This window comes from Homo sapiens, chromosome 3, assembly GCF_000001405.40.
Source record: "Homo sapiens chromosome 3, GRCh38.p14 Primary Assembly".
Classification (NCBI taxonomy): Eukaryota; Metazoa; Chordata; class Mammalia; order Primates; family Hominidae; genus Homo; species Homo sapiens.
In genome coordinates this window covers 74,824,367-74,840,277 of record NC_000003.12, presented here as the reverse complement: position 1 = coordinate 74,840,277, position 15,911 = coordinate 74,824,367, and the positions used below count along the sequence as shown (strand labels likewise).

The window sequence follows — 15,911 nt, the reverse complement described above, 5'->3', positions numbered from 1 at the left end:
TTGTTTTTAATGTGCTTATATTTTTCCAACCACTCAAACTTATTTATAATGCCATTCGTTATGTGTTAGAAGCTATCTAAATCATGCTTAGGATTTTTGTATGCCTGTCTAAAATGGAAAATGCATTCAGAGACACAGGAGAGATTTATTTATTTATTTATCTTACCAAGCTAAGAAAACCCAACAACCAATACTTTCTGATTCATCCTGGAAACTCAATTTGTCAGATATCAGGGTAGTTTTCTATTTCCATCTGCAAATAAATAATAGGAATCGCAGTCACTCCTTGCTGTAATGACTGCATCATCGACTTCATCAGTTATTTAAAAAGCTAGGGAGAAAACCAGCGACAGCTGTAAAAGGGCCTGGAATTGTTTGGAGGAGACCTTACATGCTATAGTTTCAGGATAAAAGTGGAATTATAAATGAACTTGGGAAACTTTGCAAGGTACTAACTGTAAGTCCCATGCTGTGCAGTCTGCCTGTGCAAAGGAAAATCCCCTTTGAAGAGATTAGCGGAGGTGGTTTGTATGTGATCACAGCAGCTGAGATGATGTGTGACTTTTGCCTAGCTTAAAGTGGATTAGCAAGACTTAAAAGATGGAAAATTGTTTTGTGTGAAGCTCACCATGCTTTTGGAAACATAAATGAAATCACAGTCCTATAAACTTAAATATGATTTCTATTAGTTCAATATGCAAAAATCCCCTTCTAAAAGATTAAACAGAAAAGGATTGTGGCTTGCCAATATTCACATCGGGTAATGACTGTTACACATTTGAAAATAATTTCTTAGAATTTATTTTTAATTCATCCACAAAGATGTCACTTTAAGTGTCTGAGCAACAATGTGGTAAAATAGACAGAACACTGGGTAAGAAATAGAAACAATGAAATTTGGTTCCCAAGTCAGCCACTGACTATCTGGGTCACTTTAGATAAAACACTTAACCTTTCTTAGAGTTTGTATTCTCATCTATAAAATGAAAGAATATACACCACACAGCCCTTATAATTTTGCAGAGTATATCCAATTACAGTGTGTATTTAAGGGAGCTTTAAAAGCAATGAAATACTAAGTTTTAGTTATTATTATTAACATCTTTGGTTGTAACTATTGATCCTTTTTACTAATATCACATAATAAACAAATCAATGTCTGATTTCTCTGAAAACCCTCTTTTTCCATAATAAAAAGAGAAGGAATAAAGATGAGTTACATAAGACAGATCATTGGGGTGATTGAATGTCGTTTTATTCCCTCTCTTCCGCCAGCAAAATATATCATACCATCTCACCAAATAATTTAGGTTGCTTTTGTAAGCCACCAGACCTCACTTCATTTTTCACAAATATGTGAAAGTAAAAGCTATACCACATGTTTAATAGTGACCCATGGAGTATATATCTCCTCACAAGAAACAGACAGTATTATAAAAAGGCAAGAGAGTCCACAAAGGGATATTTGTCTTGCTTAACTTTTGTATGGGCCACCAGTGTCCAGCATTTAGTGCTTTCTTCTCTGTCAATCTTTACGAAGAGGAAGACACTTTTCAACAAACTATCAATGTCATTAAGATTATAAATACGAGTCGACCATCTGTTTTTATGTCCTCTTTTTCTCCATTGACTTTTGGCAGGTGCTTAGAGAAAGAAATATTTCGGAGCCCTGACATTTCAGTGAAAAACAAAGAGGCCTATTGACCAATTTCTGGGGCACACTGTCTTTGGTAAAAGGTTAATCTTCTCAGCTTTTAGAATCTGGAAGTCCCAATAAACAGCACCTGGTCTGTTCTGCTATCATTTTACCAGCTGCAAAGCTCTAAAATAGGAGAATCTTCAATTTAAAACAAAATTTTAAAAAATGAAATGCATTGCAAAGGAAGTTTAATGAATAAAACAGAATATAGCAAATAATAGAGAAAATGGCACACCACTCAATCACTGACATTCTTCTAAAATTATAAACTTTTTGACCTGATACAAATTGCTACTTGATACATCTATACCAGTTACAGAGTAGAAAGTATTAAGAATTGATATATTTAAAATGGAGAAATGATTATCTTGAAGTATGGCATAAAATTTAAGTAGGAAAATAATACCCACCACATTTCTCCTTTTCATTCACTGTCTCATTTCATCATTTAATCCCAATAAATTTGTGCCCATATTTTCTGACAGAACAAATATTTGGGAGCTGAAACTTGACTCCCAGAAGTCTGAATCCAAAGCCTAATCAGAATCTCATGGACTATATTGTGGTGAAACACACATATTGAGCATTTTTAGCAGTCAAGAAATAGCTTCTGATTTTCATTAAAATTATAAACATATTTATGACATAGAAAATGCAAAAACATAGGGTCATAATTTTTAAAATCAGAATATTGGGATAAACAAATGGCCCATGGTATTTCTGAAATAGTATAGTACATTTTACTATTGGTCAAGCCTTTGTTGACTGTTTCTGTCCAGTTCTGGACTTAAAGTCAATCTAGAATTATTGGATAGCTATTAGAAATCCAACAACTTCAATGAGGAAAGTCATAATAATCTGAAAGATGAAGCTTTTGTAGTGGGTATTTGAACAAAGTCCAGCATTTCAAATGATACCTATTACTAGGCAAAACATCCACTGGGCTGATGTGAATCAGACCCAAGACCTTGTCAAGCTGATGAGAAAGCCACAATGTCTCCTTTTTAAAAGACTTGCACTTGACAGTATGGAAGCCTGTTGATTCTGACTACATGATTCCAACAATGACTTAGCAGAGTTGAAAAATAAAAAGAAAGAAACGAGGTGTGATGGTTAATACTGAGTGTCAACTTGATTGGATTGAAGGATACAAAGTATTGATCCTGGGTGTGTCTGTGAGGGTGCTGCCAAAGGAGATCAATATCTGAGTCAGTGGGCTGGGAAAGGCAGACACCCCCTTAGTCTTGGGGGGCATAATCTAATCAGCTACCAGTGCAGCTTGAATACAAGCAGGTAGCAAAATGTGAAAAGAGAGACTGGCCTAACTTCCCAGCCTACATTTTCCTCCTATGCTTGATGCTTCCTGTCCTTGAACATCAGACTCCAAGTTCTTCAGTTTTGGAACCTGAACTGGCTCTCCTTGCTCCTCAGCCTGCAGATGGCCTATTGTGGGACCTTGTGATCCTTGAGCGGATACTTAATAAGCTCATATATATATATATATAAAATTCCGTAATTCCATGAGTTCTTTCCCTCTAGAGAGCCCTGACTAATACACCAGGTAACAATGATATCCTCACAGTACTTGGTTCCAGCCATGCCTGACAGACCTATTCCTAGGATTTTGTGTTAGATTAGTCAAACAAATTTACTTTCACTTCTGGGATAGCATTCATTGTGAGAGGATTCTGAAGTTTTTTTAATCCTTGCAGATAAATTTTAAAATTTCCTGCTAGTAAGAAATTTCAAAAATAGAACAGATAAATGTAATAAATTGCCATTGTAAATGTCATAAAATAAATAAATTTGCTCTAGTGAGTAAATCTAAGATGATTTGCTATCATGTTACATTGTAACATGGTAGGAAAAGCTTAGCACACAATATATTGTCATGAGAACAGAAAGAAAAGAATATACAAAAATACTGTTTGAAAGAAAACCAATGGGTGACAGGAAGAAATAGATTAGCAGTGATTACGCTGATATTTTCCACATTGTAAGAATAAACACCTCTTCATCTTTGTAGTTTAAGAGAATAGAACACCGAAAAATACAAGAAGTAAATAATAGCTGCCAGAATATTAAAATGTCCAATCAAAATGATTTGTGCCAATTTAATATTCTACTAAAATATTCTAATATAATCAACCTTTAGGCTAGCTCCAGATGGAGAGAACAGAATTGATAACACTGTAAGATGCTTTCTGCTATGCTTTCAAGTATCTCACTCAGTAGCTATGAGATCTCAGAATAACATCATTGAGGCAGAGGCTGCTGGCCAGCAGATTTTAGAGTAAGATTATTGGATACAGGTTATATCCTAAGCCATTGTGGTCAGGATACATTGCAGACTAAATCTGACTCGGGGGAAAAAAGGAGTTTTTCATAAATAATAATAATAATAAGTTCCTAAATTAGAATTTCCTAAATATACTCACCCCAAATAGTACTCATCTCATATTGCTACATTCATCCACAGCATGCATTTTGGAATTTTACATTTGTCTTCTAGGTCTTATCCTGTCATTTGATATTCTATTGATGTACCATGGCAAACCTCAAAAACCCCAAACTCTTGAGAGCTGTATACCAGAAGAAAATAACAATTATCCTTTGTTCTTCCCACTCAGTTAAAACCATTATTTAACAACCAAAATGCAGACCAAATTTCTGAAATGACATTCAATAAACACCAATAATTGAATTCAATTAGTTGGAGAAAAAGAGAAATAATTAAAAACAAACAAACAAAAAAAGTCTCATCCAAATGGACATCCAAAGCCATCCTACCTTAAGAGAAAGGGTTTTTGCACTCTCAGAAATAACTTCTAATTATCAGCAATACCATATAATAATAAAAATAGCTTTTTATTGGGCTTGGATTACTACCGGGCACCATTTTTAACACTTTTGCATATGGTAACTCATTAAATCCTCACAATAACTCTTTGAGTTAAGTACCAATATTACTCCCAGTTTAGGAAAGAGGAAACCAATTTAAAGACAGGTTATGTAACTTGTCAATGGTCACAAGCTATACCCAGGGTTCGATAGCTATACAACTTGACCATTACCCCAAAGTACTGAGAAATACACATGCAGTGGCTATTTTGGGAACTGCTAATTGAATCCATGTGGTTAATTCTGGTCATTCCCTGTAGTACACAGCTTAACAAAACTGACTACCCTATTTGGGCTTATAACTGTTTCTAAAAAAAACAAAACCTAACCAAAATAACCAAAATAAAACTTAGAAGCTAATGTACCATACCATATATTGAATGCTATAAAGTTAATTAAAATTAATATTTGAAACATCATTTATAAGCAAAGATTTTTGTTTATTTTTTTCTCATTAGCACTAGCCCTATTGAGCTTCTGCATATATCTCATTGTTATTGAGAATTGCAGCCCATATCTATTTATGCAATCATTTTATCTGTTGAAATAAAAAGATACATTCTCCAAAAGAGTTCATATTCAAAGTAGATTGAATATGATGGTTATGCATTATAAAGCCCTATGATGTTTGAGCTGACCATAATTCTCCTAGTTAAATCCTACCATAATATCTATTGATCTATGTCTATCTATTTATCATCTATATAATTTACATTATAGTCATGTATCCCATAACAACATTTCATTCAAGAGCAGACTGAATATACAATGATAGTCCCATAAAAAAAAAATGGAGCTGAACAATTCCTATCCCCTGGTGACATCTTAGCCATCCTAACATCATAGTGCAGCACATTACTCATGTGTTTTTAGTGACACAGACATATGCAAACCTACTGCATTGCCAATGATATGAAAGTATGGCACATACAATTACGTACAGTACGTAATACTTGATAATGATGGTAAATGATGATGTTAGTGTTTACACATTTACTATACTGTACTTTTTATTGTTATTGAGAGTACATTCTTTCTGCTTATTAAAAAAAATAAAAGTTAACTGTAAAACAGTCTCAGCCAGGTCTTTCAAGGGGTATTCCAGAAGAAGGCATTGTCATAGGAGATGACAGCCCCATGCATGCTTTTGCCCCTGAGGACCTTCCAGTGGGACAAGAAGTGGAGGTGGAAGATGATAATATTGATGATTCTGACCCTGTGCAGGCCTAGGCTAATGTATGTGTTTGTGGCTTTGTTTTTGACAAAAAAATTAAAAAAAATTAAAAACAGAAAAAGGCTTATCAAATAAGGTTAAAGAAAATACTTTCATACAGCTTTACAATATTTGTGTTTTAAGCCAAGTGTTATCAAAAGAGTAAAGTTAAAAATATTCAAAAGTTTATAAAGTAAAAAAGTTACAGTAACCTAAGGTTAATTTATTAATGAACAAATAATTTTTAAATAAATTTGGTGTAGCCCAAGTATACTGTCTTTACAAAGTCTGTAGTAGTCTTCAGTAATGTCTTAGCTCTTCATGTTCACTCACCATTTACTCACTGCCTCACCCAGAGTATCTTCCAGTCCTGAAAACTCCATTCATAGTAAATGCCCTATGCAGGTGTACTATTTTTCATATTTTATACTGTATATTTACTGTACATTTTCTATATTCAGATACACAAATGCCTACCATTGTGTTACAATTGCCTACAGTATTCAGTACAGTAACATCCTATCTAGGGTTGTATCCTAGAAGTAATAGGCTATACCATATAGCCTAGGTGTGCAGTGGGCCATATCATATAGGTTTGTGTAAGGACACCCTACGATCACAAAAAGACAAAATCACCTAAAGATGCATTTCTCAGAACATATCCCCATTGTTAAGCAACATATTACTGTACATATACATATATTTTTAATGTATGCAAAGGAAAATTGAGTTCCAAACAAAAGATTCACCTCTTGAATGATGTATAAGAGAAAGCTGATAAATGATTTGTAAACGTCACTTTCAGTGTATTATGATTGAAACTGGTCCTTCCCTTTTGTAGGCATTGCATCATTCCCTACTGGCATATTTAACTAGCAGGTATAATAATTTTGTCCCAGGAATTTGTGCCTTTGTGTGAAAAATGTTTTCCCTCTTTCATTCAACCAGCATTCAAGTGCCTCCTGAGCATCTGGTCCTCACCTAGAGGCCGGTGATACAACTATGAACATGACATGAGCAAAGAGACAATCAAAACACAAATAGGAGATTAATCCCCACAAATAAAGATTGTGGTAAATATTACGAAGGTATTCTAGGTTGAAGAATGTCCGCCTAAAAATTCATGTCCATCCAGAACCTGGGATATGACCCTATTTAAAATTAGTTCCTTTGCATCTAATCAAGTTGCACTTAATTCAAACATCCTGAATTAGGTTGGGTCCCAAATCCAATGTGACTCTTGGCCTTATAAGAAAGGGGACATTCCAGCACAGAGACACTTAACACACAGTAAAGAACGTCGAGTAAAAACAGGTACGGATCTGAGTGACGTGTCTACCAGCCAATGAAAGTCAAGGATTGCTGACAACCACTGACCACCAGGAGCTAGGAAGAGATAAAGAAGCCTCCTCCCCCGGAGCTCTTAGAACATAACCTCGCCAACATCTTGATTTCAGACTGCTGGGCTCCAGAACTGTGAAAAAATGAATTTCTGTTGCATAAGCCACCTATGTGTGGTACTATTATGGCAGCTCTGGGACACTAATACAGATGAAGTACAACAGAAGAGAATTTAGCAGGGCAGTTAGCACAGGGTGGGCAGTCAGAGAAAGCACATCTGGGAGGTGACTTAAGGGTAGACCTCGAGTGTGAATCAGCATTGTGAGGAATACAGAGGGGAAAAGGGTTCTAGGCACGGGAAATAGCAAAAACAAAAGTACAGAGTCAAAAAAAAGCTCACACTTAAAAGAGAGAACTGAGGTCTGGAGGAGAGAGAGAAAGAGAAAGACCAAGAGATAGAGATGCATAGGAAGAAGTAGGAGAGGCAGATAAGGGACTAAGGATATCAACTCTACCCTAGCCTTGAGAGACATCCACCCCAGTGAGGAGCAAAACCACATTATTAATAGCTACAATTCATGGAATGTACACAGTTCAAAGAGAGGAAGCAATGATTTGCTTCTGTGCAATCAGTGAAAGATTTGCTGAAAAAGTGCCATTTGTACTGGGTTTTAAACATAAAAATAAAATTTGGATATTGTCTTAGGTCAGAGTCCCTAGAAGCAAAGCCTGAGATGGAGACTCTCAAACAAGAAATTCGTTGAGGGAGAAAGGGAAAGACTAAGTCGGGATGTGGTTTCAAGTGATGTCTAGCCTGTTTGATCCCAAAGGAAAGAGAGAATGCAAATTGCACAGTGAACTCTCTTGCCTTTGAGGCAAAGTAGCTGGGCTTTTGTATCCTCTGTACCGGTTAATCACTGGTCTGGGTGAATTGTTCAGGGGAGTTGATGATGGAGGAACCTCACTCCCCCAGGAAGCAGTTTCTATTGCTCAAGGATAACTCTATGAATGAGAATGCAAACAGGAGACTTTGGCAGGCACACCACGATGAGTGATCCCAGAGGGCTGGATAGGGCAAAAGGGCATCAGTTACAAATACAAAGATATGAGCTGGTCATAGAGATTAGAACTATTTCAGAACAAAAGAATCATAAGGGCCAAGCCTCTTCTATTCAAATCCACTCCAGCTGACTAATCTTATAAAACGAATAAGGAAGGACAGGCTAGACCCTGACTGGGGTCTCTGTAAGTAGTCTCCACTAACTTTCCTCATCTCTGCCTCATGGCTGTTACATTCAGCTTCTACTAAACGATAACAGGAGGAAGAAAAGAGCTTGTATAGCTTCCCTCCTTACTGTAAGGTCTCAAAATGAGGTAAGTTGATGACAAGAGTTTGTGTTATAATATTGAGAATAGATATTGGTTCAAACAGCATGGTGATTATTTCCAGGCAAAATACCTACAACAAGAAAAAGGCAATTTAATGTGCAGTCTTGTGCTAGGAACAGCAGAAGCATTTCATCTCATGTGCCAGCTTTGTTCAAATGTCCAAGTCACTGTGTTAAGAAAGAGTCTAAGGTTCAAGAGGACCCACAGACCCTCTAAAGGAAGTCCACAGACTCATGCAGGACCCAGGGGACCCCCCAAAACTGTGAGTACCCCAACTGCAGAAGTGGGAAAGGGAGACCGTCCTCTCCCGAACGCACACCCCCACTGGAGAAGCTGAAGTTCTGTTTCTGGGAGACGTTTCTGACTTTACCTGTAGCTGAGTCAATTTGGAGAGCCCAGCAAAATCCAGGGGTAGAGGTGTAGCAGGTCGAGCCACAGACAAAACCTCTCAGACACCGAGTTGTACAAGGAAGGGCTTTATTCAGCTGAGAGCATCGGCAAGCTACTGCCTTAAAATCTGAGCTCCCCGAATGCACGATTTATGTCCCTTTTAAGGGCTCACAACACTAAAGATTTCACATGAAAGGGTCTTGATAGATTTGAGCAGGCAGGCGGTACATGACAGGGGCTGCATGTACCGGTGGTCAGAGAGAAACAGAACAGGAAAGGGAGTTTCACAATGTTTTCTATACAATGTCTAGAATCTATGAATAACATCAGTTTCAGGCCTGGCACTGGGCTGCCTGTCTTTGGTTTTACTTCCTTGTTGTTTTTTCTTAAAACAGGTAATGAGTATAAAATAACATAAAACAATATAAGAGGGTCTCTCTCTTCCCTCATTCCCCCCTTTTGAGACTCTCACTTTTTATTAGTGGGAGTTTTCACTCTTATTTTTCTTACTTATGTCTTTTTGTTCAATAGATTAATAGTGATTCATATAGTACACTTGTGCTGAAGCATTTTGGTGAACTAAGGTAGCGATGAAGCTTTTTATCATTTGAAGAAGTACAGGTAGTAAACAAGGGAGCAGTAAGCAGGTTTTTATTATTATTATAACTCCTATTATAAGAGTTTTAAATCTTCCTAGTGCTGGGAACCACCTTCTAAACACGGCTTCAGGGTTGAATCCGTGCTACACTTGCACGGGTACATGTGCCAGTTTTGTTATATCTTTAACTGTGTCTTCAACTACTTGTCCTTGATCATCTATGTGTTAGACAACAATTAGTAAGGTTAAATTTTCCACAAACTCCTCCTTCAGCTGCTAACAAGTAGTCAAGAGCTAGTCTATTTTGATAGATAGCATTTCTCATCAGAGTTTCTTGCTGGGCAAGAACAGTCAAGGCTTGACCGGTTTTATCAGTAATAATTTTTAAAACAGCTTGTAACTGTATGATTCAGTTGAGCATGTAGACGGGGGTTCGATATCCCCATGAGCCATCTTGTGCCCAAGTGGCGAGTCCATAGTATTGTACGATTCTTTCAGGAGGCCATTTATTATTTTTCCAATCACCTATGGCTATGCTTTGTTTTTCCCGCGAAGCATAGACTTGGAAGCCTAGAAGTTCACCTGTTTTTATGAGCAGTAAGAAGAAAGATGGCTTAATGGTGGCAATTACACAGCTACCTGTCCACTGATCAGGCAGCTTAGCATAAGCTCTGTGTCCACATATCCAGTATAACCCGGTGGGGGCCATTCATTCCCGGTGGAATTCTGGGTTGGCCTAAACAGTCTGCAACTTTGGAAATTTACTGAATGGATTTCTTTCTGTGTAATTGGAACTTCACCATGTTACTGTTTTTGTGGTACCATTATACAGCTTTTGCCCAAGCCAATTAAGCCGCCCTATAGGATGAGTGAATCTTCCTTCTTTATCTATGCAATACTGCCCAATAGTTGAGACTTTTAGAACCTAAAAATTGTCAGGGTGGTTCTTTTGGGCTGGGAATTCATCAGGAACTGGGTCTGTAGGAACTAATTCTCAGGCTTCTTATGGCCATTGATCTCTTATTACAGTTTTTCCACAAACATAACATGGAGTGGCATTTAGAGACTGGGCTATATGCTCGGCTAATTGCAAAAACAAATTTCTGGTTTTTCCTGGAGTCTCTGGTACTGGCACATTTAGTTCATCATAGAAAGTCTGAAGTACTGGTTCTGGAGAGCATTTTTGAACTTCTCCTTTTATTAGGATGCTTACACTAGCATCTAGTCCTTTTCCATTAATGCCTAATGTTACATATATATTTTTTAATTTTACTTTGGGTCTGAGGGGTTTGTGATTATTAATTCTAAAGGGTTGCAGCTCCCACTCATGCAGGAGGGGCTGACTTTTCTTTATTTGGAGTCAAACAGGATTTTTTAAATCTTCTTTCCAAGTAGCCTAAATGACACAAGACCAGTATTGACACATCTCACATAAATATGATTTTTGAAAGATGTACTTATTTTCTGCTGTGTAACTTTTTTCTTAATCTAGAGAACCACATCTTATCCTATGCTGTTTGCTATTAATAGTGGCACAAGCATCAAATTTTAAGGTTACATTTTTGGGGACCCCTCTTTCTTCTGTTCTAGCTATTACCTTTCTTGTGTCACTTAGAAAAGGACCAGTCCTTAATTTTATTTTAAAAACTGTGATCATGGGAGGCTTAAAATGGGTCATAACACGCATCAGGTTGGTTATTTCCTGGGCTACATACCTTGGATAGAATAGCATTATACAAACAAGTTTCTTTTAGAGTCCTGGTACACTTATAATAGCCATAAAATAATAGGAATGTAGCAATCTTTTGTCCTACCTCAGTGACTTGATGTATATACTGGAAACAGTTCTCAGTCTGAGGAAGGTCAGTTGAAGTCCTTACTGTTCAAGTCTAAATTTTAAGGAAAATGAGTCCTGCAATGAGTTTCCTCATGCTTCGGCTACACATGGACCAGTCAGCTTCCGGGTGTGACTGGAGCAGGGCTTGTCGTCTTCTTCAGAGTCACTTTGCAGGGGTTGGCGAAGCTGCTCCTATCCACGTACAGCTCTCAGTCTACTGATGTTTAAGGATGGTCTCGGAGGTTGGGCCTACTAGAATAAACTGAGTCCAGCACCTCTAAACAGTTATGTTTAACTGGGCTCTCTGATACCAGGAGTAAGGTGGCAGGGTTAGGGTGTTGCAAACTTCAATGGTTATGCAGGGATTTTCACAGAGCAAGCTTTGGTATCTAGTTAGTCTAGCATTTATTAGCTAATGATGTCCTTTGGTATTTATTAAAATCACCACAGCATGGGGAGACTTTATGTTTAGGTTTTGCCTAAGAGTTAGCTTATGGCTTCTTGTGCTAACAGGGCAGTTGCTGCCAGGGCCCTTGGACATGGGGGCCAGCCTTTGGAAACCCTGTCTAGTTGTTTTGAGAGATAGGCCACTGGCCTTGGCCAGGGCCCTACAGTCTGGGTTAAAACTCCAACCGCTATTTTTTCTCTTTCTGACATATAGAGTGTAAAGAGTTTTGTCAGGTCAGGTAGCTTCAGGGCTGGGACCGACATGAGTTTTTCTTTTAAACTCATGAAAAGCTCATTGCTGTTGGTTGTAATAGATGTAGTTTATCTAATACATTTTTATTGACTGTCGTCTACTAAAATATTGACTTAAATCTTGTAACTATTTGATTTCAAGCTTTAAATTGATCTGGTATTCCTTGCAGGGTTCCAATTGCATCTAAATAGATGTGAGAGTTGAAAGACCTATAAGGGCCTTCTCTCACTTTATGATGTCTTTATTTATATATATATATTTACCTCTGGTTGATGAAATGCCAGGGTGAAAGGGATAGCCAAATGGGCTAAAGCACAATTGCCACTCTAGTTATTCAGCAGAGTGCCCAGTAAAGGTCCACCACAATACTACCACACATCTGCTCGGGGATGAACAAGAGCTGACTGATTGATAAGCTCTTGAAAATTTTTAAGCTCCCCGCATCCTTTCAGGTCTCCAAGGAATGCTGTCTCCTCCCTGCCATCAGAGACATGAAGTGAACTTAGTGTTGGGAGACGGAAACTGGATGGCCCTCAGGGGCTGACCCACAGGGACTTCAGGATATAGCAGAGAGAGCTTGGCATGACTTATTACTCCAGGCTGTAGAATCCTAGAAAAGAGCTACCATGCAGCCCACACCTGGTCGACTGGAGGACCACCTTAGTGGAAGGGGGACAATCAGGGCCTCTGGCCTGCCATGTGCACAAGCATAACAATTGCTTTTGTTTAACGTGCAGATGGAATATTTGATCCATTTCAACCAGGCATTTGCATCTTGGTATGCTCTCTTCATTGCCAAAGTTTGTTTTAAGTCTTTAACTTCTATGATCCTCTAGTAAAATGAATGTTTCCTTTAGCACCAATTTTTATTAGTTTTTAGACCAAAGAAAGCTAAACACCATTTTATGTTTAATAATGCTTCTTGTATGATTTTTATACCAGATAAGCTAAATTTTACCTTTATATTAGTGTTATTAATGTTAAACTTAATTTTAAGAAAACCTTGTAGACATATTTATCCAATTTTTCATGTTTGACCATAAGGTAAGATTTTATAGACTCTTTTTAACCTTTTATAATTTTTGTTAAAGAGCAGGTTGATGCTTTAAGAAAAAAAACCTGTTGCATTTTTACTTTAATGTCCAGTTCACAGAAAAACTGGGTGATACCTTTTTAACTTTAGCTAATATGTTTATACACAGAATTTTCTTTACAATTAACATTTTAAAACTTGCTTAAACTTTCAAAACAATAATTTTTTTAACCTTTTAATGTAGGTAAAAATCCACATTCTTATGCCTCCTTATAATCTTTTTACCAAAGGTATATTTTACTTTTTTTTATACACCTTGCACATAAACTTTCTTCAATAGTACTCAGGAGGCCTTATCACTTTTAAATTATACAACATTTTTTGCATAAAATTTTTTTATAACATTTTTTCTTTCACGACTTTCACGGACAATTTTTTTAACATGTCTCAATTTTTGACTTATTATAAACATTTTTTTCTTTAAACAACCAGTTAATTTATTTCGGGACAAGAATTTACCATATAACTTTTTTTATATGTAAATTCTGCCTCCCCCAACCTTTTTTTTTTTTAAAGCAAACATTCTTTATGTCTTTGGACTAGACTGTCTAAGGCCACAAGATTAGAAGTTATCATAATACATGTTACACTGTTAACTTTTAGCAAACTTCACATTTGTTGAAAACCTTGTAAGTTTGGGATTTCAATTATCCTTTGCTAATAATAAGATCTTGTTTCGTCTAAATTAACTTACAATTGGTATAGATGGCTTTTTTTTTTTTTTCTTCTCTCTGCTGGTCTTTCCTTGTCTCTGCCAGCCACTTATGCTGCTGTTCTCTTAACTACCGTGGGGGGAAAGGGGTCTAAAACCAGCTGTAACTGTCTATGTATGGAACCTGGTCTGGGTGCCTTGGCTTACAGGTTACCTTTTGCCATACCTTAGAAACCAAAGACCTATCTAGGCTTCCTTCTGATGGCTAACCTACCTCTAATGCTGGCCAGTCTATTTCACACAAACTTCTAAGTGTTCCTGGAGTCATAGTGACTCCATAGTCTCCATTAAATCCTTTCTTGAAATTCTTTAACATAGTTCCCATTGGGGTGTGCTTACTTTGCATCTGACCTATGTTTTTTCAAGACAAAACACCACGCTCACACCACACACACACCACAAAACAAAGAACAGGTAAAAGGGCACACACACACTTTTGCAGTTTACACCAAACCAAAATCAAAACCAAAATCAGAGTATCCAGAAATTCAAGCCAGGTCAAAAACCGAAATCAAAGTATCCAGCAACTCAAGTCAAGTCAAAACCAGAACAAAGGTGCCAATACAGGCACACCGTGGGTGATCAGGCCACGCTTCCACTCAGATGGAGTGGGGCATGTTCCAAAGACTAGTCTTACCAAGTTTCAGATGTCTGGACTCCAAGGGCCAGTTCCTTCCCAGTGTTCAGCCACTGTGTTAATCCTCCGTGGGGGCCTGCTATGCGCTGCTCTGACGAGGCATTCCACAGGGGCAATTTCCTACCCAAGCGCTCTTCGGACCACATCACTCAGGCTGGCCAGAGTCCCCCTCAGGGATGCTCCACAGGGCAGGCTTAAGCCACCTAAGGGGCTGCCTCGGCCGTCCGTCAGTCACCTCGCTTCCTGGTCAGGGAACCAAGAAATGTAGCAGGACGAGTCGCAGACAAAACCTCTCAGACACCTAGTTGTAGAAGGAAGGGCTTTATTCAGCTGGGAGCATTGGCAAGGTACTGCCTTAAAATCCAAGCTCCCCGAATGCACAATTTCTGTCCCTTTTAAGGGCTCATAACACTAAAGATTTCACATGAAAGGGTCGTGATTGATTTGAGCAAGCAGGCGGTACATGACAGGGGCTGCATGTACCGGTGGTCAGAGAGAAACAGAACAGGACAGGGAGTTTCACAATGTTCTTCTATACAATGTCTGGAATCTATGAATAACATCAGTTTCTAAGTTATGAGTTGATTTTTAACTACTGGGTTTAGGCCAGGCAGGCCCAGGCCTGGTTTCAGGCCTGGCGCCGGGCTGCCTGTCTTTGGTTTTACTTCCTCGTTGTTTTTTGTTAAAACAGGTACTGAGTATAAAACAATATAAAAGAATATATGAGGGTCTCTCTCTTCCCTCAGAGGAAGCAGCAGAAAGGCTCTGGGGGCTCGCTGGGTCCCCTAACAGCCCATTCCTGCCTGGCACCACAGGAATCCAACGGGAGAGGAGCAGGGGTAAAACTACACAGGGACAAGGAAATCTCTAGCTGAACTTTGAAACAATTTGAATGGGGTGAGAAACCTCCTGGCCAGAACTTGGGGCAGGGTGCAAATCCTGTGTGCAAACTCCACAGGTGGAGGAAGAACCAGGGCCTTTTTATTCTCAGCGGGGAGGCAGATAGCCAGGGGCAGTGTTTCAAGCCCGTATTGCCCTCCGCCTGGAAATGGTATGGGGGCTCTTACAGGGTACACAGTGGGATTGAGACCGGCAGGTCAGTTTGTGTGGGAGCTGGGTGAGGTCTGTGACTGCTGGCTTTCTCCCACTTTCCAGGCAACCTGTATGACTCATCAGAGGCAGGCAAAATCCTCCTAGGTACACAACTCCAGTGACCTGGGAATCTCACCCCCATTCCCCACAGCAGCCACAGGAAGACCTGCCCAAGGAGAGTCTGAGCTCAGACACAGCCAGCCCTGCCCCCCGCTGATAATCCTTCCCTACCCACCCTGGTTCCTGAAGACAAAGGCCATATAATCTTGGGAGTTCTAGGGTCCCACCCACCACCAATTCCTCCCCATA

The 15,911-nt window shown here is 38.6% G+C and overlaps 1 long non-coding RNA gene across 3 annotated transcripts in view; it reads right to left on the bottom strand.

The window, feature by feature from the left end:
* Positions 1 to 15,069, bottom strand: part of LOC105377167 (uncharacterized) — a 60,528-nt gene extending 45,459 nt beyond the window's left edge. For all 3 annotated transcript variants that reach the window (XR_940970.3, XR_940972.2, XR_001740758.1), the window contains exon 1: positions 14,511 to 15,069. This is a non-coding gene — a long non-coding RNA (uncharacterized LOC105377167). The remainder of the gene's footprint in view (positions 1 to 14,510) is intronic.
* Between the last annotated feature and the right edge of the window lie 842 nt (positions 15,070 to 15,911).